The 26,789-nt window shown below is 40.4% G+C and overlaps 1 protein-coding gene across 18 annotated transcripts in view, besides 2 other annotated features; it reads left to right on the forward strand.

Annotated features, from left to right (window-relative positions):
• Positions 1-26,789, forward strand: part of HHAT (hedgehog acyltransferase) — a 348,963-nt gene that overhangs the window by 250,408 nt on the left and 71,766 nt on the right. For all 18 annotated transcript variants that reach the window (XM_047424804.1, NM_001122834.4, NM_001170564.3 and 15 more), the window contains one exon: positions 10,163-10,364. In XM_047424804.1, coding sequence (XP_047280760.1) covers positions 10,163-10,364 — 202 coding nt within the window. The remainder of the gene's footprint in view (positions 1-10,162; positions 10,365-26,789) is intronic.
• Positions 19,445-20,306: an enhancer, noted in NCBI's record as "H3K27ac hESC enhancer chr1:210770524-210771385 (GRCh37/hg19 assembly coordinates)". NCBI's record gives its function as "activates a minimal SCP1, AML or CMV promoter by ChIP-STARR-seq in naive H9 embryonic stem cells {active_cell/tissue: H9 hESC(naive)}" and the evidence as "EXISTENCE:reporter gene assay evidence [ECO:0000049][PMID:30033119]".
• Positions 20,307-21,167: an enhancer, noted in NCBI's record as "H3K27ac hESC enhancer chr1:210771386-210772246 (GRCh37/hg19 assembly coordinates)". NCBI's record gives its function as "activates a minimal SCP1, AML or CMV promoter by ChIP-STARR-seq in naive H9 embryonic stem cells {active_cell/tissue: H9 hESC(naive)}" and the evidence as "EXISTENCE:reporter gene assay evidence [ECO:0000049][PMID:30033119]".

Here is a 26,789-nt window from a genome sequence, read left to right on the forward strand (position 1 = left end):
TCCTGAGTTCAAGCAATTCTCCTGTCTCAGTCTTACAAATAGTGGGATTACAGGCATGCACCACCACGCTGGGCTAATTTTTGTATTTTTAGTCGAGACAGGGTTTCACCATGTTGGCCAGGCTGGTCTTGAACTCCTGACCTCATGTGATCTGCCTGCCTCAGCCTCTCAAAGTTCTGGGGTTACAGATGTGAGCCACTGCGCCCAGTTGGCCTGTAATTTTTTAATGATGTCTTTGTCTGGCTTTGGTATAGGGTAATGATGGCCTCATAAAATGAGTTTGGAAGTGTTCTTTTTCTTCAGTTCTTTTGATGAGTTGGAGAAGGATTGGTGTTACTTTTTATTTAAATTTTTGGTAGAATCCACCAGTGAAGACATCAGGTCCTGGACTTTTCTTTGTTGTGAGGTTTTTAATTACTGATTCATTCTCTTTGTTATTAGTCTGTTTAGATTTTCCTGATTCATTCTTGGTAGGTTGTATGTTTCAAGATATATGTGAAAAGATGCTCAATATCACCAGTCATCATGGAAATGAAAATCAAAATCACAATGAGATATCACTTCATATGTGTTAGGATGGCTATTATTTTCTAGAAAAAAAAGATAACAGATGTTGGTGAGGATGTGGAAAAATAGAACTCTTGTACATTGTTGGTACAGCCACTATGGAAAACAGTATGGAGATTCCTTAAAAAAATAAAAAAGAGCTACTATGTGATTCAGTGATCACACTTCTGAGTATACAAAATAATTGAAATCAGTATCTAGAAGAGGTATCTATATTTCCATATTCATTTCAGCATTATTCACAACAGCCAAGATACAGAAATAACCTAAATATCTATTGATACATGAATTGATAAAGAAAATGTGGTATATACATACAATGTAATATTATTCAGCCTCAAAAAAGAAGAAATTCCTGCCAGTTGCAACATCGTGAATGAACATGGAGAATATTCTATTCAGTGAGATAAGCCTGTAACAGAAGGACAAATACTGTATGATTCCAGTTATATACATAAGGCTATGAAGGCGAAATAAGCCCATAACAGAAAGAGAAATACTGTATGATTTCACTTATATGAGGGATCTAAAAATAGTCAAACTCCACATGTATGTAGATGTTTACTGTAGCACTATTCACAATAGCAAAGACATGGAATCAACCTAAAAGCCCATCAATGGCAGATTGGATAAAGAAAATGTGGTACATATCCACCATGGAATACTGCGCAGCCATGGAAAACAATGAGATCATGTCCTTTGCAAGAACATGGATGGAGCTGGAGGCCATTATCTTTAGCAGAAACGGAAAACCACACACTGCATGTTCTCACTTATAAGTGGGAGCTAAAAGATAAGGACACATGGACACACAGAGGGGAATGACAGACACGGGAGATGGAGGGTGGGAGGAGGGAGAGAATCAGGAAAAATAACTAATGGATACTAGGCTTAATACATAGGTGATGAAATTATCTGTATAACAAACCCCTGTGACATGAGTTTACCTATATAACAACCAGCACATGTACCCCTAAACTTAAAGGTTAAAAAATAGTCAAACTCATAGAAGCGAAGAATAGAATGGTGGTTGCCAGGTGCCGGGGGTGAGAGGAAGGGGGTCTTGCTAATCAATGGGTATAAAATATTAGTTATGCAAGATGAAGAATTTCTAGAGATCCACTGGCTAGCATTGTGCCTATAGTTAACGATACTGTATTATATACTTAAACAATTGTTAGCAGTGTAGATTTCATACTGTGTTCTTGCCATGATTTAAAAAAAATCTCCAGAGTCTTTATATATTGTCTCATCTGATCTTCACAGCACCTCATACTCAAAGAAGGTTTTAGTGCTGCTAGTGCATACTAAGTATGTATACTTAAGCTGAGCAGGTTTACTTGACAAGTTCGAGGTTACAGAAGTTGGTGAGTGGCAGAGCAGGGCCAAGGTCACATCTTCTAGCTCTCAAGCACTGCGCTCTTTCTTGTCCCATACTTCGCCACTGTTGCTGCTTGGGCTGTTTTCTAGCGGCAAATGTGCTTGGACTGAGCCATTCAGACTCTCTCAGCCTCTCTTTCTGTGAGAAAGATAGAGCTTTTGTGAAGCCAGAGTTTGGGTTTTGAACTATGAAGTTGTGGTTGAATCTTTCTCTAAGATGGAAGCTACAAGCTTGGGTTCATCAGCACAATACTTCAACTCACTGAACTACCAGCTTCATGGAGCGAAAAGAAAGATTATTTAAATGTTGGCATCTAATTACATTTACCTAGAAGTTGAAGTGTAGGCTAAATATAGCTTGAATTTAATTTCTGTTTTATAAACCCTACAATGTTCTGTTGCCAAAGAGGGCATAGAATTTTTAATAGATAATTTTCAGAATTGCATATGAAGCTTATGTACAGCATCTTTTAGTAAAGGAGCTGAGAATTAGCCCAGCTCAAAATATTTTCCCTGCTTTGAAAATAGACTCCTCTTAGCCTTATGGAGGATGACAAAGCCTGTGGTTGCCCATTAACCAACTGCTGGTTATTACTTGTTAAAATGCTGTTATTATCTCTACTGGACAGAAAAATATTAAAAGCAAATTATATTCCTTTTTGTGTACATCTTCCTTTGAAAACTTTTCTTTCTTTAAAAAAAAAAAGGGGGGATACGTGTACAGAACGTGCAGGTTTGTTACATAGGTATACGTGTGCCATGGTGGTTTGCTGCACCTATTGACCTGTCCTCTAAGTTCCCTCCCCCCACCCCCCACCCCCCAGCAGGCCCTGGTGTGTGTTGTTCCCCTGTCTGTATCCACGTGTCTCATTGTTCAATTCCCACTTATGAGTGAGAACATGCGGTGTTTGGTTTTCTGTTCCTGTGTTAGTTTGCTGAGGATGATGGTTTCCAGCTTCATCCATGTCCCTGCAAAGGACATGATCTCATTCCTTTATATGTCTGCATAGTATTCCACACATTTTCTTCATCCAGTCTATCATTGATGGGCATTTGGGTTGGTTCCAAGTCTTTGCTATTGTGAATAGTGCTGCAAAAAACATATGTGTGCATGTGTCTTTATAGTAGAATGATTTATAGTCCTTTGGTTATATACCCAGTAATGAGATTGCTGGGTCAAATGGTATTTCTGGTTCTAGATCCTCGAAGAATTGCCATACTATCTTCCACGATGGTTGAACTAATTTACATTCCCACCAATAGTGTGAAAGCATTCCTCTTTCTCCACAGCCTCATCAGCATCTATTGTTTCCTGACTTTTTAATAATCACCATTCTGACTGGTGTGAGATGGTATCTCACTGTGGTTTTGATTTGCATTTCTCTGATGCTGAGTGATGTTGAGCTTTCTTTCATATGTTTATTGGTCACATAAATGTCTTCTTTTGAGAAGTGTCTGTTCATATCCTTTTCCCACTTTTTGATGGGATTATTTGTTTTTTTCTTATAAATACATTTAAGTTCCTTGTAAATTCTGGGTATTAGACCGTTGTCAGATGGGTAGATTGTGAAAACTTTTTATAAGTAGATATGTAGCTTCCTTTCTGAGAACTACCTAGAAGATGGAGATTTGGCTGGAGGGTCATCACTGGCTGTGAGAAAGAACACTAAAATGTGGGCCAAGGCCAAAGCTAGAGCCAGGGTTGGGTCAGGGGAGCTACTGCCCATGAGAGCTGGGCTCAGGACAGCACAGCCAGCTCTGTAGAGAAGAGAAACCTGAGCAGGGGCTGGTCTCAGGGCCCAGATGGAGCCAAGGTGAGGTCACCTCACCACCAGTGTAACATGGACAAAAGTCTTGCCTTTCCTAGCCACTAAAGGCTCTGTTCTTTAAAGGACTAGTACTTTTACTTTGGGTGGTAAATCTCTTAGGGTTGGAGTAGTTCCAGAGGTGTGGTGACACATACTTTTGACTTTAGTAGGGTAATTAGGATTACAAAGTGTGGAGAAACTTCAGCATCTTTCAATGCTCTGTATTCTTTAGGAATAGGTGTCTTCCAAAGTCTCCCAGTACCTGGTACAGGACCTTATAATCAATCATCCTTTCATTTCTGTTGCTTATAATGGGTCCATGACAATGGTGACAATTTTTAACAAGTTTAAAAGCTATTCGAGGCTATCAGCAGTAAATGGAAATTATGTTACGTATTTAAGTACTGTTGACTAGTAGCTGTGTAACATACACACGCATACACATACACACATCACATATCTAGTGCTGTCTGAATGAATCTTACAATTGAGTTAAAATGACACCCATAATAGACACATTTTGGTAAAAAGCTGTTCAATCAGTGGAACAGACAGTACACACAGTAGGTTCCTGGGTTAAATTGCAAGTTGGAAAATGCAAAAGAGACTTCCTGGAGTTGGGAAATCAACTGGATTTTGTAGACTGAGTAGGTGTTGGAAAATCAGGGAGGATGGAGCAGTGTCTTCTAGATGTGAAAATGGTATGACCAAAGGCACGGAGCTGTCAAATCCTCTTTTATTCAGGATTTTAGGATTTGTCACCAAAGCCAAGTGGGGAGAAGGGAAATAAGGGTGGAAAGTTAAGGTGGAGCTAGAGTAGGATGTCAGCAACTGCCTGCCCCAGCCCGGCCGAGGAATGGGTAAGTGATTACAGGAAACCAGCAAGCCCACCTCGGCTCAGTGCAGGAAACCGTAGTAAAAGCCATGTCTGTCAGTGTCTGGTGCTTCATCTTCATACTTTGTTGGGGTCTGGGATTAGTCTGTCATAGAGTTAGGTGATAATGTAGCAAGCCAAGGAGCTATTGTATAGGTCCTTGGAAAAAAGAAGTGTTGCGATTTTAAGATTAATGCGTTTACCACATGGATTGTTACCACCCCTGTCTCCCACTGTAGGGCGTATATTTGTGTTGTTTTTCATAGTAGGTATGAGGGAGCTAGATATTTTCTTCTCCCTTTGTGTACCTCTACTCAGCATCACCCTAGCCACCAACTTTTTATGCCCCACTTCTGACACAGGCAGACGTCTGCAGGATGTCAGGGAGTTGAGATAGCAGGTGTTATCTCTGCTTGTGGGACAGAGGGCAACTACTTAGTCTGTTCAAAAGCGGAAGTTATACCTCTTGTCTTCTGACACTGAACAGTGGCTAACAGAGCTCATTGGCTTAAATCCCTTTGTAAATTGTAATCATTATTCTCTTGAGCAAGAATTCTTTCCTAGAAAGGACATTTTTCAGTTAATAAAACATCAGTGGATGTTTCTGTGGAGACTGTTTTGAAGATTTGGTTAAACGAGAAATATATCAGTGAAAGCACCCAGCCCTGGGGTTTCTGGAACTACAACATTCTAGGAGCAGATTTTACCTCTCCTATATAAAATAGGCCTAGTTATTTCCTTGGAGGGTTGTTTTAATGATTAGAAATAGTATGCATAAAGCACCTGGTGCATGGGCACTCAGTAAAGGGTAGAAGTCATCAATACTGTCTACTATTTATATAGATTCCTCCTCCTGAGTTGGGGGTTTGCTGTGGTGCATTGATTCAGTGAGATGCTTTTAAATTAAGAAGGTGGCTGCAGCATTTTCTGTAAGCAGTGACCACGCGAAGCCGGCCAGGCAGAGGCAGGCTTCGTGAAGACTCAACCTGACATAGTCACTGACGAGAAGCAATCTTTTTAGTTTTGCTTTGCTGAGAAGGTGGTGCTGATTGCTTTCTTCCATTGGGAAATCAATTTATTGTGCAGCAAATCTTAGTAAGCAGTTTCATACTATTGCTTTTCTAAAAAAAGAGACATGTTTCTGTTTTTATTAATCATGGAACTGACAGAAGATGGTAGAATTTGTAAAAGAAAATAACCTGTTTGCTCTCCTTTTTACCACACGTACTGTCTTCTATAAATTAGGAATAAAGAAGGGATTTTTATCTTCCAGTCTTGAAGCTATACCCTCTTCTGGTTTGAGACAAACAGCCTCATGTCCTTGGAGACCTGCCATATATGAATTTCTGGAATAAAAGGAATTTTCAGAGATTTTTGTTGGCTGTCATTTTGAAGGCAAAGTAACAGCCATGGTTCCAGGAGATGCCCAAAATAGCTGGGCATGTAATTTTGGGGCTAGATGCTTCCTGATCACAAGCTTGAAAACATGTCCTCCTTGGAGTTGAATCTAAGATCAAGTACCATTGGTGTGGAGAATGAGAGGTTTGTGTGCTATGGTTTTCTGACATATACAGTGCAGCTAATTTTTTTTTTTTTTTTTTTTTTTGTGATGGAGTCTCACTCTGTTGCCCAGGCTGGAGGGCAGTGGTACTTACTGCAACCTCCGCCTCCCAGGTTCAAGCAATTCCCGGGCTAAGCCTCCCGAGTAGCTGAGACTACAGGTGTGCACCACCACGCCTGGCTAATTTTTGTATTTTTAGTAGAGACAGGGTTCACCACGTTGGCCAGGCTGGTCTCGAACTCCTGACCTCAAGTGACCCCCCAGCCTCGGCTTCCCAAAGTGCTGGGATTACAGGCGTGAGCCACTGTCCCCAGCTGCAGCTCACTTTTATATAGTGAGATAAGATTAAAAAAAAAATCTCTTCTCTTGGGTGAAGAGAGCATTTGATAATCTGTTTTATAAAACAGCCATCTGTACAGTTTCCTTAAAGAGAAGTCGTTCTTCATCCTTTTGCAATAGGTTTGATTACCCTATTTTATTTTTACATACAACACTGGTTACGTAAAGTTAAGGGCAGCCTCATGATGGGCCAGCAGTTACCTCCATGCAGGTAGGAGGCAGTGAATTGTGGCCCATTTTTTGCCTCTGCTGAGTATTCTACACCAATGACCAAGCAGCCTCTGGGGGGCAGCAGAACACCGGATAAGACTACTGTGCCCTGGGCTGTCAGGCTTTTCTGACTTGTCATCCAACCCCTCGTTTGTGTCCTTGGCTCAGTGCCCAACCTTCTCTTTGCCTAGCAAAACTCATCCTCTTGGCCTTGTCAGAATGAGAGCCTTCGCCCTTCAGCCTCCTTTGCCCCACTGTCTTCACTCACACCCTTCTCCCCTGCACTCTGGAACCTTTGTGGTCTACTTTGTACCATGTCACATAGCTTAATGATGGGAATTGTTTGCTATTGTTTCACAAGCAGGTTTGCCCATCCTTATAGCAAGAACAAAGTCATGTCTGTTTCCCATAATGCCAGGAATTCCCTGAAGGCCTAAAGACATGCTCAACAGCAGGTGGAATATCCATTAATCTGTAGTGAGTGCTTGATGCCTATTTGCTAATTTGATTGTCAAGATGGTCCTGTTTTTGCACAAAGGAAAGTATTGGCTTTGCTTTACTTATTTCTGAAACTGCTACATTCTCACATGCCTTCAAGTTTAATTGTTCCTGATTGGGGTGAAATATAGAGGACTTTAAAAATTAGCCCAGGGTTGTAATGGAAGCAGTAAGTTGGCTGTACAGATGCAGATTTGCATCTTTGTCTTTCTCCTTCCCAGCTGTGTACCTTGGGCAAATTAATTTCTCAACCTCAGTTTCCTCACCCATAAAATGGGATTATCTAAGGTGATCAAATAATTTATTATCTAAACTGGAAACTGGAACACATTTGAGAGTGGAGGATGTTAAAGAAAAACCAGAGATAGGTAGTAGTTGAAGCAGTAAAAAAAAAATTATTTGGGAACTGTTGTAATAGGGGAAAAGAGACCTCAGTATGGAACTGGACTCTTTTTTTTGAGACGGAGTCTTGCTCTGTCACCCAGGCTGGAGTGCAGTGGCATGTTTTCAGCTCACTGCAACCTCCACCTCCTCCTCCCGGGTTCAAATGATTCTTCTGCCTCAGCCTTCCAAGTAGCTGGGACTACAGGCCCACACCACCATGACTGGCTGATTTTTGTATTTTTGGTCGAGACAGGGTTTTGCCATGTTAGCCAGGCTGGTCTCGAACTCCTGACCTCAGGTGATCCACCCGCCTCAGCCTCTCAAAGTGCTGGGATTACAGGCAAGAGCCACTGCACCCAGCCAGAACTAGGCTTAATTCTGAATACAGCTTGGATAAGGGGGATATAGCCAAGGAGCAAGGTGGGGGTCATTGAGTGGAATATTAAGAGGAAACATTGGGAAATAGGAGGATTCTGGCTAAACAGACCTAACAGGATTCCTCCTGAAGGCAGCCAGGGTGATCAGACACCAAGAGTAGGTGATGAAGAATTTGGCCAGATGATGGAGCATGATCAGATATTGCAGGTGGGGGGTTCGTTCTAAACTGACTTAGCAGGATTCTTGCTACAATAAAGATGGACACCAAGGTTGAGGCCTAGAGAGCTTAGAGGAGCTTGACTAAAGTTTAGTCAAGGAGAGAGTCTTTGTCCAGTGGCACAGTTTTATCATAGAGTCTTTTAAAAGATTTATTGCCTGATAAGTTGTTTTTATTTTTAGCCTGCCTACCTATACAGTTGTTCTATTAAGCCAGGTATAGTGACTCATACCTGTAATCCTTGCACTTGGGAGGCTGAGACAGGAGGTTCACTTGAGGCTAGGAGTTCAAGACCAGCCTAGGCAACTTTTATATCATCTCTACAAAAAAAGTTTTAAATTAGCTGGGTGTGGTGGTGCATGCCTGTAGTCCCAGTTACTTGGGGGGCTAAAGTGGGAGGATTATCTGAGTTCAGGAGTTTGAGGTTGTGGTAAGCTGTGACTGCACCACTCTACTCCTGCCTGGGTAACATCTAGAGATGCTATCTCTAAAAATAAAATAGTCCTGTTGAAAACATTTTGAATAGAACAATTTCCTCTCTAAAAACAATTTTATTTCCTCTTCAAAAACAAGTTTGATCTCCTCCCCTAAATTAATATATAAACAGGACAAATGCTAAATTGTTTAAAATGCTGGGGCAGTAGGTATAAACTATACATATGGTGCTTTAAAGAATCAAAGTGGTACATGTAAGTGTCTAGTACTTGGAACATACTGTGTATTCAGAAAAGGATTTTTTCATTTTCCTTCCTGGAGGAAGGTTGGACAAAGAAGCACTGATCAGCAATAAAGGCCTATGGGCTTTTTAAAAAGGCTATTGCAAGAAGGGTATGCTCCTAGCTTTCCAGGTCCTAACAGCTCAAGGTGTGAGTTTTGTCCAACTCAAGCAGGAAATTACTGATTGAAGAACATAGTACTGTCTCTACGTACTCAGGCAGCTGTCTCAGCAATGGAGAACATACCCAGGGGACAGCTATGCATTTTGTCTGGTACTTTGGCTGCCCTGTGAGCACAGAGCTCTTTTCTTTATTGTGAATTCACGACTGCTTCTGGGCAACCTGCCTAGAAAGCTGGGGAACCGTCTCTGGCACCCATCTGCTGCACCCAGCTCCTGCCTGTTTAGGAACGTGATCTTACCAATTGCATTTAAATAATGGGTTTACCATAAACTTAATAGTTTGAGCTGTAAAATCCACACTTGCTGTATTAGTCCATTTTCATACTGCTATGAAGAAATACCCAAGATTGGGTAATTTATAAAGAAAAAACACTTTAATGGATTCACATTTCCACATGGCTGGGGAGGCCTCACAATCATGGCAGAAGGTGAAGGAGAAGCAAAGGCACATCTTACATGGCGCCAGGCCGGAGAGCATGTGCAGGGGAACTGCCCTTTATACAACCATCAGATCTCGTGTGAGACTTATTCGCTATCATGAGAACAGCATAGGAAAAACCCACCCCCATGATTCAATTACCTCGCGCTGGGTCCCTCCCATGACACGTGGGGATTATGGGAGCTACAATTCAAGATGAGATTTGGGTGGGGTCACAGCCAAACCATATCACCTGCCTTGAAGGTTGCTGGCCTCATGTAGCCAGAAGCTTAACTGCCATTCTGTGATTGGATTTCCAGGGTTGGGCCCATCCCTTTCAGAAACTCTAAATTCATGACTTCTTGCCCTGCCTCTTGTAAGTGCTATTTTGCTCTAGTAATGAGAGCTCTTGAGCCTGTGTGTTCATTTAACCTAACACCCTGCAGAGCTAAGGCTTGGGTTTTCGCCAACTCCTTGTGGGATGGAGAATCCAAGGAATCTGGCCTCTTGGAAGTGAGGAAGGATCTGCATATGTGAACAGCAGTATGTGACAGGATAGTCAAGCTGGGGAGCAGATAGAGTTGCAGGGCAGCCCTCTGTATGTCTCCTAACAGCCTCTTCTTTCTCTAGGTATGTGTACATTCCAGTGGGCGGGTCCCAGCATGGCCTGCTGGGGACACTGTTTTCCACGGCGATGACATTTGCATTTGTGAGCTACTGGCATGGCGGCTACGACTACCTCTGGTGCTGGGCAGCGCTCAACTGGCTGGGAGTCACTGTGGAGAATGGAGTCCGGAGGCTGGTGGAGACTCCCTGCATCCAGGACAGTCTGGTGAGCAGGATCCTTGCTGCTGTGTTAGGGGACAGTGGAACTAGGCAGATCAGGTTTATTAGGGATGGGGCCATCAGATTCCCTGCCCCCACTATGGGCCCTTTCTACTAGGTTGGTTCAAAGTCCATATGCCTAGAGGCAAGACAGCTGGAAAAGAAGCTTCTGTAGTGCATATATGTGTGTTTGTGCATGGGTGTGTGTGTGTATATATAACTATAAAAAATGTATTATGTAAAAATTAGAACATTTAAACAAGAAAATAACCTCTCAACAGAAACCATGTTAAGATCCATTCTTCTAAATTTTTTCCATGTGTATATACAAACAGACATATGTATATAACATTAAAACAAATGCTATTACAGAGAGATGATTGTATCGGGACCACCTTTTTAAGTCACTGAGTCCATACCTAACCACCCTTTTTAATGGCTACATAGAATTCCCTTACGTGGATATGCCATAATTTATTTTAGTCTCCTATTATTAGTAATCATATTATTCTAAAGATTTTTTGCAACTATCAACTGTATTAAGATGAATATCATAACCAGGATGAATTCTCGTAAGTGAAATTTCCAGGTTCAAGGTTTTTCTCATCTTTAATGTTCATTATGTATATTGCTTATTAACTCTTAACTGCCCTGTAGACAAAAGTACACTAATTTGTATTTCTACCAATGGTGCATAAGAATGACCTTGCTAATACTGAGTATAACTGGAATTTTAAATCCTTGATAGGTATTGTATATAGTAGTATAAAAAACAGCTAAGGTTTTTAAGAAGCAGTTCAACTTTACAGGAAAATGATTTGGAAAATCAATTAAGCATTTCTCTTTACACATATATTTTAAGTGATTTTAAACTATGGGCATAGCTTTTATCTTGCGAATGTGATATATGATATATTACAATCTTGTAGGAAATCATCAGTTCTGAAGATGTAGCAATATTCCTCTAACCCCGAAAAAAGTAGCTAAAAAGAAATGTGCTGGCATCAGTGTTCATGGCAGGCAATCACACACAGAAAATTTGAAAAATGATTAATGTGGCTACATTCCACCCAGTGTGAATAACTAAAGCAAATGCACTTTAAAAAGCCCTGTCAAAACAGAATACATTTACATATGTTTTTATAAAGATAGCCATAGTACAAGTGGACAGTTATTTCAATAAAAACTGAAATAAACCGAGTAGTCAAACAACACATTGGAGGGGATTTAAATATGCTCATGTATGTATAAAGATAAATATTTTTCCAGCCATCAGCAGGAAAGAAATGCCAGTGGATTCTAACAGAAAATGTTATTTCAGTGAAAGCCATGGCTATGTAACACACAGGAAAACCAAAAAGGATGGTATCATAAAGATTTTAATCTTCATCCTCAAATCTGAGCATTCTGCTCCAAAGCCTGAAAACACAGTTACCACCTTTGAAAGTCAGAAGGTTCTTTTCAGCCCAGTCTGTAGCCCTGCAACACATTTCTGTGCTCTTTCATGAAGCAAGTAACATTAACCTTGAACTTAATGTTAAGCAGTGCTCTGTGGCCTTTGAGCCATAGCTTATGCTAGTAATAATTTTAGAAATCTAAAACATTCGAGTAACCCAACTGTGCCATGTAGCCTGTGACCTGTTCATTTTGGTTCAAAATAAATCAAGGCATCAAGCACACTTACTCACAGGATGAAGCTCTTGCTTGTCTACCTTGCTCCATCACACCTTGCTCCAGGACTCACTCATTCACCTCACTTGACCTTCCATCTACAATTCAGGTACCTTGGTACATAGTAATTTTTGATATGCATTTTTTTGGCAAAATATTTGTCTTATATGTTGCAAGTATGATGTTTGGCTTGCATATTTATTGAGCAAGAATATATGAAACTTATTTTTATCACCTACAAGCCTGGTAGGCAGTTACAGCTATTTAGACGATGGACTCCTTGAGTACATGGCCAGGTTCCCATTACTCTGTTTATCCCCATTGTCTGAGTGAGCCTCAGTGTTAAATCAGTGCACAATTAGTGCTTTCATATCAGGTTGATTATTTAGTTCTTCCTCCACTTGCCCAGACATAGAATCTTCCTCCAGTACCCTGTTTCTTATGTAGTTCCACACAACATCCAAATGCACACAATTTTTTGAGTAAACTATTTCCCCACTTAGGTTACCCTTCTTCCCTCTCTTTTCATGAATCAATTTCCTGTTCTTCTGTCAAAATCCAAATGAAGACTTACTGGCTTTGTGAGTTAATTATGCATGCCCCTCACATCCTCAGTAGTATTCAGAGTTCTCCAGAGAAACAGATCAATAGGATGTGTGTGTATTTTGGTAGGGGGATAGGGATGACGGTAAAGAAATTTAGTATACAGAATTAGACCATGTGATTTTGTAGGCTGAGAAATTCAGACCCAGGAGAGCTGATGGTGTAAGTTCCAGTCCAAAAAAAAAAAAAAAAAAAAAAGGCAACAGAAGACCAGTGTCCTAGCTCAAAGACAGTCAGGCTTGAAGACAGAAAAAAATATTGTGTTAGCTTTCTATTCTATTCAGAACTTCAACAGATTGGATGAGGCCCGCTCACATTAGGGAGGGAAATCTGCTTTATTCAGTCTACTGATTCAAATGTTAATCTCATCCAGAAACGCCTTCACCAGAACACCCATGAATAATACTTAAGTGAATATTTGGGCCCAGTCAGGTTTACAAATAAAATTAACCATCACACCCTTTCTTCATGGTGTATATCCTTCATCTGTTTTATTAAGATAGATTAGCAGATCTCTAAATAACAAAAATTATTTTTTCTTTGTCATATCTTCTTTACAAAAAATGTTTGTGGGTACATAGTAGTTGTTTGTATTTATGGGGTACATGAGATATTTTGATACAGGCATGCAATGTTTAATTATCACATGGGGGTAAATGGGGTATCCATCATCTCAAGCATCTATCCTTTCTTTGCGTTACAACCAATCCAATTATACTCTTCCAGTCAGTTTTAAATATGTAATAATTGTTGACTGCAGTCACCTTGTTGTGCTACCAAATACTACATCTTATTCTATATAGCTATATTTTTGTGCTCATTAACCATCATTCCCCCCAACTACCCTTCCAAGCCTCTGGTCATCATCCTTTTACTCTCTGTCTCCACAAGTTCAGTTGTTTTAATTTTTAACTCCCACAAACAAGTGAGAACAGGTGAAGTTTGTCTTCTGTGTCTGGCTTATTTCCCTTAATTACTTCCAGTTCCATCCATGTTGTTGCAAAAGATAGGCCCTCATCCTTTTTTATGGCTGAATAATACTCCATTGTGTATATGTACCACATTGTCTTTATTTGTCTTTTGATGGACACTCAGGTTGCTTCCAAATCTTGGCTATTGTGAATAGTACTACAGTAAACATGGGAGTGCAAATATCTCCTTAATTTACCGATTTCCTTTCTTTTGAGTATATCCCAAGCCATAGGACTGCTGAATCATATGATAATTCTGTTTTTAGTTTTTTGAGGAACCTGTGAACTGTTTTCCATACCGTGGTCTTGTACTAATTTACATTCCCACCAACAGTGTACAATGATGCCCTTTTCTCCACATCCTTACCAGCTTTTTAGGTAAAAGCCATTTTAACTGGGGACAGATAATATCTTATTGTAGTTTTGATTTGAATTTTTCTGACTTTAGTGTTGAGCACTTTTTCATATACCTGTTTGCCATTCATATGTCATCTTTTTAGAAATGTCTATTCAGATCTTTGCCCATTTCTTAATCAGATTATTAGGTTTTTTCCCCGTAGAGTTGTTTGAGCTCCTTATATATCCTGGTTATTAATACCTTGTCAGATGGACAGCTGACAGATATTTTCTCCCATTCTGTGGGTTGTCTCTTCACTTTGTTGATTGTTTCCTTTACTGTGCAAAAAACTTTTAACTTGATGTGATCCCATTTGTCTATTTTTGCTTGGTTGCCTGTGCCTATGGGGTATTACTAAAGAATTATTTGCTAACTCCAGTGTCCTGGCAAGTTTCTCCAGTGTTTTCTTTCAGTAGTTTCATATTGTGAGACCTTAATTTAAGTCTGTAGTTCATTTTGATTTGATTTTTTTTAATATGGTGAGAGATAGGGGTCTAGTTTCATTCTTCTTTATATGGATATCCAGTTTTCCCAGCACCATTTTTTGAAGAGATTGTCTTTCCCCCAGTGTATGTTCTTGGCACTTTTGTTGAAAATGAGTTCACTGTTGATGTGTGGATTTGTTCCTGGGTTCTCTATTCTGTTCCACTGATCTGTGTGTCTGTTTTTGCCCAATACTGTACTATTTTGGTTACTAGAGCTTTGTCGTATATTTTGAAGTTAAGTAATGTGATTCCTCCAGTTTTGTAATTTTTCCTCAGAATAGCTTTGGTTATTCTGTGTCTTTTGTGGTTCCATATAAGTTTTAGGATTTTTTTTTTAAATTTCTGTGAAGAATGTCCTTAGTATTTTGATAGAGATTGCATTGAATCTGTAGATTACTTTAGGTAATATGGATGTTTTAACAATATTGATTATTTCAATCCATGAACATGGAATATCTTTCCATTTTTTGTGTCCTCTTCGATTTCTTTCATCAGTGTTTTATAGTTTTCATTGTGGAGATATTTCACTTCTTTGGTTAATTCCTAGGTATTTAATTTTATTCATAGCTATTATAATTGGGATTACTTTCTTGATTTCTTTCTCTTAGTCTGGCTAAAGGCTTGTCAATTATATGCATCTTTTCAAAAAACCAACTTTTCTTTTTTTTTTTTTATTATACTTTAAGTTCTCGGGTGCATATGCACAAGGTGCAGGTTTGTTACATATGTATACATGTGCCATGTTGGTGTGCTGCACCCATTAACTCATCATTTACATTAGGTATATCTCCTAATGCTATCCCTCCCCGCTTCCCCCACCCCACGACAGACATGGGTGTGTGATGTTTCCCTTCCTGTATCCAAGTGTTCTCATTGTTCAATTCCCACCTATAAGTGAGAACATGCGGTGTTTGGAAAAAACCAACTTTTCATTTCATTGATTTTTGTATTTTCATTGTTTCAATTTTATGTATTTCTTCTCTGATCTTCGTTTCCTTTGTTCTAATTTTGGGTTTGTTTTGCTCTTTTCTAATTCTTTAAGGTGCATCATTAGGTTATTTTTAGTTTTTCTACCTTTCTGATGTAGGTGCCTATAGCTATAACTTTCCTCTTAGTACTTCTTTTGCTATATCCCATCAGTTTTGGCATGTTGTGTATCCATTATCATTTGTTTCAAGGAGTTTTTCAATTTCTTAAGTTCTTCATTGACCCTCTGTCATTCAGGAGCATATTGGTTAATTTCCCTGTGTTCGTATAGTTTCCAAAATTCCTCTTGTTATTGATTTCTGCTTTTATTCCATTGTTCAGAGAAGATAGTGGATATCATTTCATTTTTAAAAATGTTTTAAGACTTATTTTGTGGCCTAACATATGGTCTATCCTTGATAAAGATCCATACGTGGAGGAGAAGAATGTGTATTCTGCAGCCATTGGTACAGAAATGTTCTGTAAATGTCGATTAGGTCCATTTGACCTGTGCTGCTGGTTAAAGCTGATGTTTCTTTGTTGATTTTCTGTTTGGATGATCTAATTCTGAAAGTAGGGTGTGTAATTTCTTCAGCTGTTATTGGGGTATCTCTCTTTAGCTCTAATAATATTTGCTTTATACATGTGGGTGCTCCAATATTGGTTGCATATGTTATTTACAACTGTTATATCTTCTTGCTGAATTGATCCCTTTATCATTATATAATGATGATATGTAGCTTTGTCTCTTTTTATAGTTTTTATCTTGAAATCTATTTTGTCTGATTTAAGTATAGCTGCTGATGTTCTTTTTTGGTTTCCATTGGCATGGAATATCTTTTTCCATTTCTTTACTTTCAGTCTATGTGTCTTTATAGGTTAAGTGTGTTTCTTGTAGCCCACAGATTATGGGGTCCTGTTTTTTAATCTATTCAGCCGCTCTGTCTTTTGATTGGACAGTTTAGTCTATTTACATTCAATGTTATTATTTATACATAAGGACTTCCTCTTGCCATTTTACTATTTGTTTTCTGTTTTATGGTCTTCTCCTTCTTTCCCTCCTTTCTGTCTTTTAGTGAAAGTGATTTTCTCTGGTGGTGTGTTTTAATTTGTTGCTTTTTGTGTATCTGCAGTGTGTTTTTTGATTTGAAATTACCACGAGGCTTGCAAATAATCTTATCACCCATTATTTTAAACTGACATCTTAACACTAATTGCATAAACAAATTAATAAGCAAAGAGAAAACGAATAAAAACTCTACACTTTAACTTTGTTTGCACTGCTTTTAACTTTTTGTTGTTTTTGTTTATGTCTCATTGTACTATCTATGTCTTTAAAAGTTGTTGTTGTTATTTGTTTGTGTTTTAGTCTTTCTACTCAATATATGAGTAGTTTGTAGGCCACAATTACATTGTTATAGTATTCTGTGTTTTCCTGTGTACTTGATATTGCCAATGAGTTCTGCACCTTCAGATGATTTCTTACTCCTTATTAACATCCTTTTCTTTCAGATTGAAGAACTGCCGTTGGCATTTCTTGTTCTGGTGTTGATGAAATTCCTCAGCTTGTTTGTCTGGGCAAGTCTTTATTTCTCCTTCGTGTTTGAAGGATATTTTTGCTGAATATACTATTTTAGGATAAAAGTTTTTTTCCTTCAGCACTTTATGTCTTGCTACCCTCCCCTGAACTGTAAGGTTTCCATTGAAAAATCTTCTGCCAGATGTGTTGGAGCTGCAATGTATGTTATTTGTTTCTTTGCTCTCGTTGCTTTTCAGATTCTTTTTTTTAAATTAATTTATTTAAGTTTTAGGTTACATGTGCACAACGTGCAGGTTTTTTACATATGTATACATGTGCCATGTTGGTGTGCTGCATGCATTAACTCATCATTTAGCATTAGGTATATCTCCTAATGCTATTCCTCCCCACTCCCCCCACCCCACAACAGGCCCCAGTGTGTGATGTTCCCCTTCCTGTGTCCAAGTGTTCTCATTGTTCAATTCCCACCTATGAGTGAGAACAAGCGGTGTGTGGTTTTTTGTCCTTGTGATGGTTTGCTGAGAATGATGGTTTCCAGCTTCATCCATGTCCCTACAAAGGACATGAACTCATCATTTTTTATGGCTGCATAGTATTCCATGGTGTATATGTGCCACATTTTCCTAATCCAGTCTATCATTGTTGGACATTTGGGTTGGTTCCAAGTCTTTGCTATTGTGAATAGTGCCGCAATAAACATACATGTGCATCTGTCTTTATAGCAGCATGACTTATAATCCTTTGGGTATATACCCAGTAATGGGATGGCTGGGTCAAATGGTATTTCTAGTTCTGGATCCCTGAGGAGTCGCCACACTGACTTCCACAATGGTTGAACTAGTTTACAGTCCCACCATCAGTGTAAAAGTGTTCCTATTTCTCCACATCCTCTCCACCACCTGTTGTTTCCTGGCTTTTTAATGATTGCCATTCTAACTGGTGTGAGATGGTATCTCATTGTGGTTTTGATTTGCGTTTCTCTGATGGCCAGTGATGATGAGCATTTTTTCATGTGTCTTTTGGCTGCATAAATGTCTTCTTTTGAGAAGTGTCTATTCATATCCTTCGCCCACTTTTTGATGGGGTTGTTTGTTTTTTTTTCTTGTAAATTTGTTTGAGTTCTTTGTAGATTCTGGATACTAGCCCTTTGTCAGATGAGTAGATTGCAAAAATTTTCTCCCATTCTGTAGGTTGCCTGATCACTCTGATGGTAGTTTCTTTTGCTGTGCAGAAGCTCTTGAGTTTAATTAGATCCCATTTGTCAATTTTGGCTTTTGTTGCCATTGCTTTTGGTGTTTTAGACATGAAGTCCTTGCCCATGCCTATGTCCTGAATGGTATTGCCTAGGTTTTTCTTCTAGGGTTTTTATGGTTTTAGATCTAACATTTAAGTCTTTAATCCATCTTGAATTAATGTTTCTATAAGGTGTAAGGAAGGGATCCAGTTTCAGCTTTCTACATATGGCTAGCCAGTTTTCCCAGCACCATTTGTTAAATAGGGAATCGTTTCCCCATTTCTTGTTCAGATTCTTAATTAATACTTGACTTTGGGAGTTTGGTTATCTTGAGGTAGTCTTATGTGGGTTAAATCTATTTGATGTTCAGTAACCTTCCTGTACTTGAATACTGATATCGTTCTCTAGTTTGGGGAAGTTCTCTGATATTATCTCTTTGGAAAAATGTTCTACCCCTGTCTTTTCCTTTCTTTACCTCCCTTTTAAGGCCAGTAACTCTTAGATTTGCCTTTTCGAGGCTGTTTTCTAGATCTTATAGGCATGCTTCATTCTCTTATATTCTGTCTCTTCTGACTGTATTTTCATATAGCTCATCTTCAAGTGTGCTAATTCTTTCTTCTGCTTGATCAGTTCTGCTAAGAGACTCTGAGGCATTCTTCAGTATGTCAGTTGCATTTTTCATCTTCAGAATTCCTGCTTGATTCTTTTTAATTATTTCAGTGTCTGTTAAATTTATCTGATAGTAGTTTGAATTCCTTCTCTGTTTTGTCTTGAACTTCATTTAGTTTCCTCAAAGTAGCTATTTTGAATTCTCTGCCTGAAAGGTCACATATCTTTGTGTCTCAGTGATTTACTCCTGGTGCCTTCTTTAGTTCGTTCACTGAGGTCATATTTTCATGGATGGTTGTCATGCTTGTGGATGGTGCATTGGTATTTGGCCATTGAAGAGTTAGGTATTTATTGTAGTCTTCACAGTTTGGGCTTCTTTGTGCCTATCCTTCTTGGGAAGGCTTTCCAGGTATTTGAAGGGACTTGGGCATTGTGATCTAAGTTTTCGGTTGCTCTAACTGTATTTGCATTACGGGGCACCCCATGTCCAGTAATACTGTGGGTCTTGCAGACTCATAGAAGTACTATCTTGGTTATCTTAGAGAAGATCCAGAAGAATTATCTGGATTGTCAGGTAAAGACTCTTGTTCTCTTCCCTTACTTTCTCCCAGACAAATGGAGTCTGTGTGCTAAACTGCCTAGAGCTGGAGGTGGAGTGACACAAAAACTCCTGTGGGCCACCACTACTGGGACTGCACTGGGTCAGACCTGAAGCTAGCACAGTACTGGGTCTTGCCCATGACCTACAATAACTACTGCCTGGCTACCACCTATGTTTGCTCAAGGCCCTAGCGTTCTATAATCAGCAGGTGGCAAAGGCAGCCAGACTTGTATCCTTCCCTTCAGGGTTATGGGTTCCTCCTGGTCCTGGGTGGGTCCTAAGATGCCATCCAGGAGCCAGGTCCTGGAGTCAGAAACCTTAGGAATCTACTTGGTACATTATTCTACTACAGCTGAGCTGGCACCCAGGCTGCAATACAAAGTCCCTGCCACTCTTCCTTCTCCTTTCCACAAGCAGAGGAGTCTTCTCCCTTGGCTACCACCACCCCAGGCTTGTGGCAAGTACTGCTTGGCTATTGCCAGTGTTCATTCAGGGTCCAAGGGCTCTTCATTCAGCTTGTGATGAATGCTGCCAAGCCTGGGTCCTTCCTTTCAGGACAGTAGGCTCCCTTCTAGTCCAAGACAGGTACAGAAATGTCTGAGCCAAAACCTGGAACTGGGGACCCCAATAGCCTACTCGGTGCTCTACTCCACTGTGGGTGAGCTGATACCTTGGCTGCAAAACAAAGTCCTCTTTCCTCTTCCCTCTTCTTTTTTCAAGCAGAAGGAGTTCCCCATAGCTACCACAACAGGGAATGTGCTATGTCATGCCTGAAGCCAGCAAGTCTCTGAGTCATACCAAAAGCCCACAGCAAGCACTGCCTGGCTACCACTGTTGATTATTCAGGGCCTAAGGGCTCTTTTGTCAACAGGTGATTTATTTTGTCAGGACTGCATCCTTCCCTTCAAAGCAGTGGGTTCCCTTTTGGCCCAGGGTGTGTCTAGAAATGTCTGGGAGGTAGGGGTTGGGATGGGGGCCTCAAAACTCTGCCTGGCCCCCTATCTTACTGTGGCTGAGCACGTATCCAAATTGCAAGACAAAGTTGTCTTTACTCTTCTGTCTCCTCTTCTCAAGCAGAAGTTTGGAAGGAATCTGTCTTGGAGCTGTGAGCTATGCTGCCTGGGGTTGGGGGACGGGTGATGCAAGCACTCCCTTGGATGCTCTGGCTGGTGACTCACTAGGTCACGTGTCCCCAAAATCAACTGGCTTGAAGTTGAGCAAAGTATGAGGACTTGCTCAGGAATTAGTCCTTGTTGCCTGGACTGCCTTTCAAGTTTATTTATGACCTTAGAGCCCCTTAGCCCTTGGGGACAAGTGTTGCTGGAATCTAAGTTCTGACCACTGGAATGGATGCTTCCCCTCTGACTAGGGCTGTTCTAAGTGTCCCCTCCACAGGCACTGGGCTGAGTTCTGCCCATCTTTCTGCTGTGACAGGGCAGCCCTGAGTTCCAGTGCCAAGTCCCACAGTCACTGTGATCTTTCTCCCCCAAGTGTACAAGTTGTCACTCCCCGTGGCTGCTGTTGGAGGATGGAGGAGAGGTGGCATTGCAATTTAAGACTGTCTTTCCTACCCTCTACAGAGCCACTTTCAGTGATACAAAGTTAAAACCAGGTACTGTGATGCTCATCCAATTTTTGGTTCTTATAAAGGTGAGTTTTTATGTGTAGCTAGTTATTTAATTGGGTGTTCCTGCAGAGAGAATGATTGGTGAAGGCTTCTATTTGGCCATATTGCTTCACCTCCCACTTCTTTCATATCTCCATCTTCAACCCCAAGGCCTTATTTGGGGATCAAAATATAGAAGAATTCTATTTCTTGGTGTTGGTAGACTGAGAGCTGAACATTCACGCAAATACTTGTCAGAGCTGAGTGCTGTAAATAGGAAGCCCTCTGATCGTCTACAACAGGGTTGTCTGATAGAACTCCTATGGTGACAGAAATGTTAATTGCACTGTCCAGTACAGTAGCTACTAGCCCCACTGAGCACTTGAAATGTGGCTAGTGCCTATTTAAACTCTGGATTTTAAATATATTTAATTTTAACTAATTTAGATCCCAGTATCTCCCATATGGCTAATGGCTAACATTTTAAACAGTGCAGCTCTAGAACATACCCCCACTTCTAGAAAACATTAAAGGTTAAAGGCATATAGTGTGTCTGACCCTGCTGTTACTTGGAATGATCTTCATTAATGCCCTTGGCACCTCATATATACAACTGGCTGCTGAACCTCTTGACTTGGAAATCTACCAGGTTTCTCAGACTTTGCACGTGTAATATGGAGCTCGTGACCCCCTGCCTCCCAGTAATTCCAGCATACTCTCTTTCCCCAAATGACACCACCATCTATCTAGCTACTCAAGGCTAAAGCCATTATGTTATCCTTTGTACCTCTCTCCCCCTCAGATTGATCTGCATATACTGTACATTCTACCTCCTAAGTAGATCTCGAATTTTTTTGTTTGTTTCTATTTCTACTGAAATCCTAATCCAAGCTGCTCTCATTTCTTTCCTGGTCTACCAAATAGCTTCTAGGTAATCCCTTGCTTCCACTTCCTCCCCCTTCCATTTATTATCCTCATAGTCCTGAGTGATATTTCTCCATAAAAACCTAACCATGTTGCTGTCTTTTAAATCCTATAGTGACTCCCATTGTCTTAGAACCAGGTCCACAACATTTAAGATGACCTATGACACCCTATCTGATCTTTCACTTACTGCCTCTTCCCACTCCTCCCCCCTCACCTCTCTGTTCTTCTTTCTGTTCATTACATACCTGATCCCTCTAGCCTCAGCTCCCCAACACAGGTACTTCCATCTCCTAGGATGCTCTCTTTCCTTCCCCTCCACCCCTATTCATCCTTCAGATTTCAGCTCAAATGATATCTAGTTTGGAAACCCTTCACTGGCCCTCCTAACTCAATTAGATCCCATTTGATAATTTATTTTGGGTACCTTGTATATGTTCTCTTCTGCTATATTTATCACAGTTGAAATGAAATTTTTGACATAATTTATTCCCTCGCTGAACTGTAAGCCTCATAAGGTCAGAAATACTGTATTCTTGACCCTTATCCCAATTCCTGGCACAGTGCCTTTTTGAATAAAAGAAAGAATGAATGATATTTTCTGACTTCACTCACTGAGGGAGTTTAAGATGAAATAGACTTAGGCAGCAACATGAAGAATATAGATTGAATACCGAAAAAAACTAAAACTGAGAGTTATTGAGTATTGGGGGACTATCTTACTAAGCAGCAGCATAGATACAAATAGGTCTAGTGATGGCAAAATGCTGTTATAATGCTCAGTGCACAAAATACATATACAGGAAAGAATGGGGTAAGGAGGAATTAGTCTTCCTGGTAGCCTGCTGCTTTATGAGAGGAGGGATTGTTGGTTGTGACTCACTGAGGCACAGAGCTGTAGGAAGCTAACAAAAGGCATTTTCACAAAGCACCCAAGCTGGGTGGACGTAGAGGAGTTACTGCTGGAGCACTGTGCTTTTTCTCTGTACAAGTACTCTCCAGGGAGTGAGGATTTCTGTTTAGCATTGAAATATTTTAATCAGAGGAAACATTTTGAAGTGACACCACTTCATGCCAATTCTCAGTTTGATCTCTCCTTTGAAGGAAGGCTCCTTCAGGCTGCTTGTCGATTATTCCTACCCAAAGAAGAGTCTATATCTCAAATAGTTCACCTACTCCCACCCCTGATTTCCATTTCATTGAATAATTTAAATACGTTCTCCTCTCCCAGCCTGGCCTCCGCCTCTTTGCCCCAAGAGTGTCCTGCTGAGCTGATTTATATCCTTTCTGAAGCAGTAAAATTTCTATTTATACACTTAATTGAGGAAACATGCCTCCAGTGAAAACCACCGAGAATCAGTCTGATGGTCATGGCAGGGATTTGATGTTCTGGGGCATCAGAGAGAACCCAAAGACTCTGTGGTGGTGGTAATTCAATGTATTGGCCATGTTGATTAGTTTGATTTTGAAGATAGAGAATTCCAAATTGGGTTTAAGAAATCAACCAATTTAAAAGTATTGTTGATTGTAAATTGATCAACGTGATCCAAACTATGGTTATTTGATTCTATGGAATCCTAACTCACCGCTTGGCAAGACATACATATCTAGTTGGCCTGATTAGAAAACCTTTTCGTTAGGGGTCAGTAGTCCAAGCCCCAACTAAGCCTCTGAGGGAGTATAAAGCAAATTTGAGAAGAGCTGTGGCATTTGGTAATGGCTCATGGCCTTCTATTCCTCCTCCATTTGGATTTCTTTCAACAAATTGAAATCAAGCACTTACTGGACATAAGCCATTTTCTCCAGAAAATGGTACCCTTTCTCGACAGAGCCCACTTAGGCATAGTCAACGTGGCTATTCATTTCTTAACTTACTCATTTAGGAAAAAAATTCTCAGCACCTTATGTAGAAGACACTTTGCACATTACTGAAGGACTCTAAACTGAATAAGACATGATCCCTGCCATGAATGAAGGTGTCTTGCCTGGCCTCCTATCAGAGTACTCATATTATGATGACTGCTTTGGATTAAAGACATAATAAAACCATGAAATGGGAGCTTCTCTCTATGAAGAGCTAAGAGATCTATAAGACAAATGAACTTGCCTTTATAAACATAATAAAATACTGATTGACCTAGTCTTCCCAGGCATTGCTTAGAAGAAAGGCCCAGGCTAGAGATAGAAATTTGGGACCATATAGATGATATTTTGGAGCCATGAGAATATTTGAGACTCAGAGAGAGAGAGAGAGAGAGTATGTGTGTGAGAGTGTGTGTGTGTGTGTATGTGTGCACACACGCATGCAAAGAGAAGAAAAGGCAGCCAAGGAACACCAATATTGAGAAGTTGGATCGAGGGGGAGCTGAGGAGGAGGAAAATCTAGAGGGTGATTTCACAGAAACCAAGAAGAGGGGAGATTTCATGGAGAGGAAGTGGTCCACGGTGGTGATGCTACTCAGGGGTCGAGTAAAATGAGAGTGCTGGCAGTGAGAAAAGAAAGCTGTGAGAGTTCATCCCTGCCCACTAGGGGCTTATGATCCAGATGGAGAGGTGAGATGTGCACAGACCAGTTGAGGACCACTGTAAAGCATTACGTGCGAGTGGCCAGAATGAGGCACAGAGGCCCCTGATGTTCATGGTGGTCAGTGTGAGCTAAGCTTTTGGGAAAGGTTCATTAAAGAGCCAAGGCTTGAATAGCACACTGGAGAATCAACAGTAGGATTTGGCTAGGGTCAGGAGGGAGAAGAAGACTAGCATTGCAGGCTGGGAGAACAGTGCGTGCGCTACCTGAAGTCAGGCATGGGCATTCTGTATCCAGGTCACGAGGCTGCCAAGACAAATGGAAGAAGGGCGGTTAGAGAGGCCACATGGTTCCCATAGAAAGGGATTTGAATGCCATGCTTAGAAATTTAGGAACAGAAACCACTTAACCAAACAGGAGAGCGTTAAATTAACATATTAATCCCACACATCAAATTAGCCTGTTGTGCCAGCTTATTAGTGCTCACCCGGGCCTCTGGGTCTGGAAAAAAGCAATGCGTGTTGTTATGAACGGTGTGTTCCTTGGTGGATTACGACCCATTGGCACCCCCACAGCATTGTCTCCCACTCCTAAGGATCATTAGCAATGCAGGAAACACACTATGCAATTCGCTGGTTACACATTTTCTTCTCTGTGGGAATTGGAAGCCTGAATCTTAACCTCTCTGGTCTAAGAGGTAGAATTCTGAAAATAATTCCATGTTAGTTCAAATATGTTTAGTATGGCGAAAGCATTTTCAAGGGTTCTTTTTAACTTTCCATGACTGAGTCGGCTATCTGACAGATAGAAGGCTTTGAAATAGAACCCATTTTCAGTTATTCCTGGACTGATGAGCGCCAGGACTGGCCAGTGCTTGGCCTTCTGCTGCCTTTGCTCGGCTGCTCAGTTTCTTCTGGAGTAAGACGGGTGTCCTGCTCCAATCATCGGCTGCTATCATGGCATTCTTATACCTTCTCCCTGCTTAATGCAAACTCTCACCTGAGAAACCATAATCTCAGGAACGAGTACTGAGCCAAAGATGAGATCCATAGTGTGAATGTAAATGGTTGAAACTGGCTTTTCTCGGTGGTTTGTGGAGTTTGATTCTTTATCTGTGAGTCTCTGGTCTCTGTTTCTGCAGCACAGATGAATGGTGGTTGCTCTAATCTCAGTCTAGTGCCTAGCAGCTTTCCATAGATGAACTTGGGAAAAATAAATAATCTTAGTATGTATATGTTGAAGATTTGGCTGTGTCTTTCCAATTCTGGGTATCTTTTTCTCCCCTAAATCCAAATTACCCACTGGAGGTGACAAAGCTTGAATTTCCAGTGTTCCTGTTACTGATGGAAAGAAAAATAGCCCCCTTGTTTCTTCCTAAAATAATATGCACATACTCACTGCAATATATTTTTACAATGTGTATTTATATATGTACATATGCTGTGACTATATGTGTGCAACGTGTGTGTGTGCATGCCTATGTACTGATTTTTAAAGATCTAAGGCAGAGATGTGCAGGACTTCCAAAATAAAATTCTTCTAAAGTATCTCACATTCCTTCCAAGACCTAGAAATAAACTCTGCTTTAAAAAGCCTTTCGAGCAGCTGCTGGCCTTGTTAGAGATAAGCTGGGTTGGTATCAATATACTTGTGATTACTGACATGTATTGAAACACAATTTAAGTTGGATCTTGCTTTTTCTTCTGGTGTCAAACTTGTAGTTTACCTAATAGGCTGGAGTAATTGCTGGAACAGACACTGACTGTCTGCGGAAGGGTGGGAAGCAAGGGTATAATATAAAAGGTGAAGTTCATCCATCAAACTGACTGCAGCTATTAACAGTGATGTTAAGATAGTTTTTTTGTTTTGTTTTGTTTTGTTTTGAGACAGAGTCTCACTAGCCTGGAGTGCAGTGGTGCAATCTAGGCTCACTGCAACCTCCACCTCCCAGGTTCAAGTGAAGCTTCTGCTTCAGCCTCTCGAGTAGTTGGGACTACAGGTGCATGCCACCAAGCCCAGCTATTTTTTTTTTTTTTGTATTTTTAGTAGAGACAGGGTTTCACCATGTTAGCCAGGATGGTCTCGATCTCCTGACCTCATGACCTGCCCACTTCGGCCTCCCAAAGTGCTGGGATTACAGGCCTGAGTCACTGCGCCCAGCCTAAAATAGTTTTATTGAGAGGGAATATGTTCTTGACATATTAGTTTTAAATGATCACCAAAGAATGATAGATTTAATAAAACCTTATTTTATTTAAAAATACACATACACAGAAAAGTATGTGAAAGGTTATATACTAA

This window comes from Homo sapiens, chromosome 1 (genome assembly GCF_000001405.40).
Source record: "Homo sapiens chromosome 1, GRCh38.p14 Primary Assembly".
Classification (NCBI taxonomy): domain Eukaryota; kingdom Metazoa; phylum Chordata; class Mammalia; order Primates; family Hominidae; genus Homo; species Homo sapiens.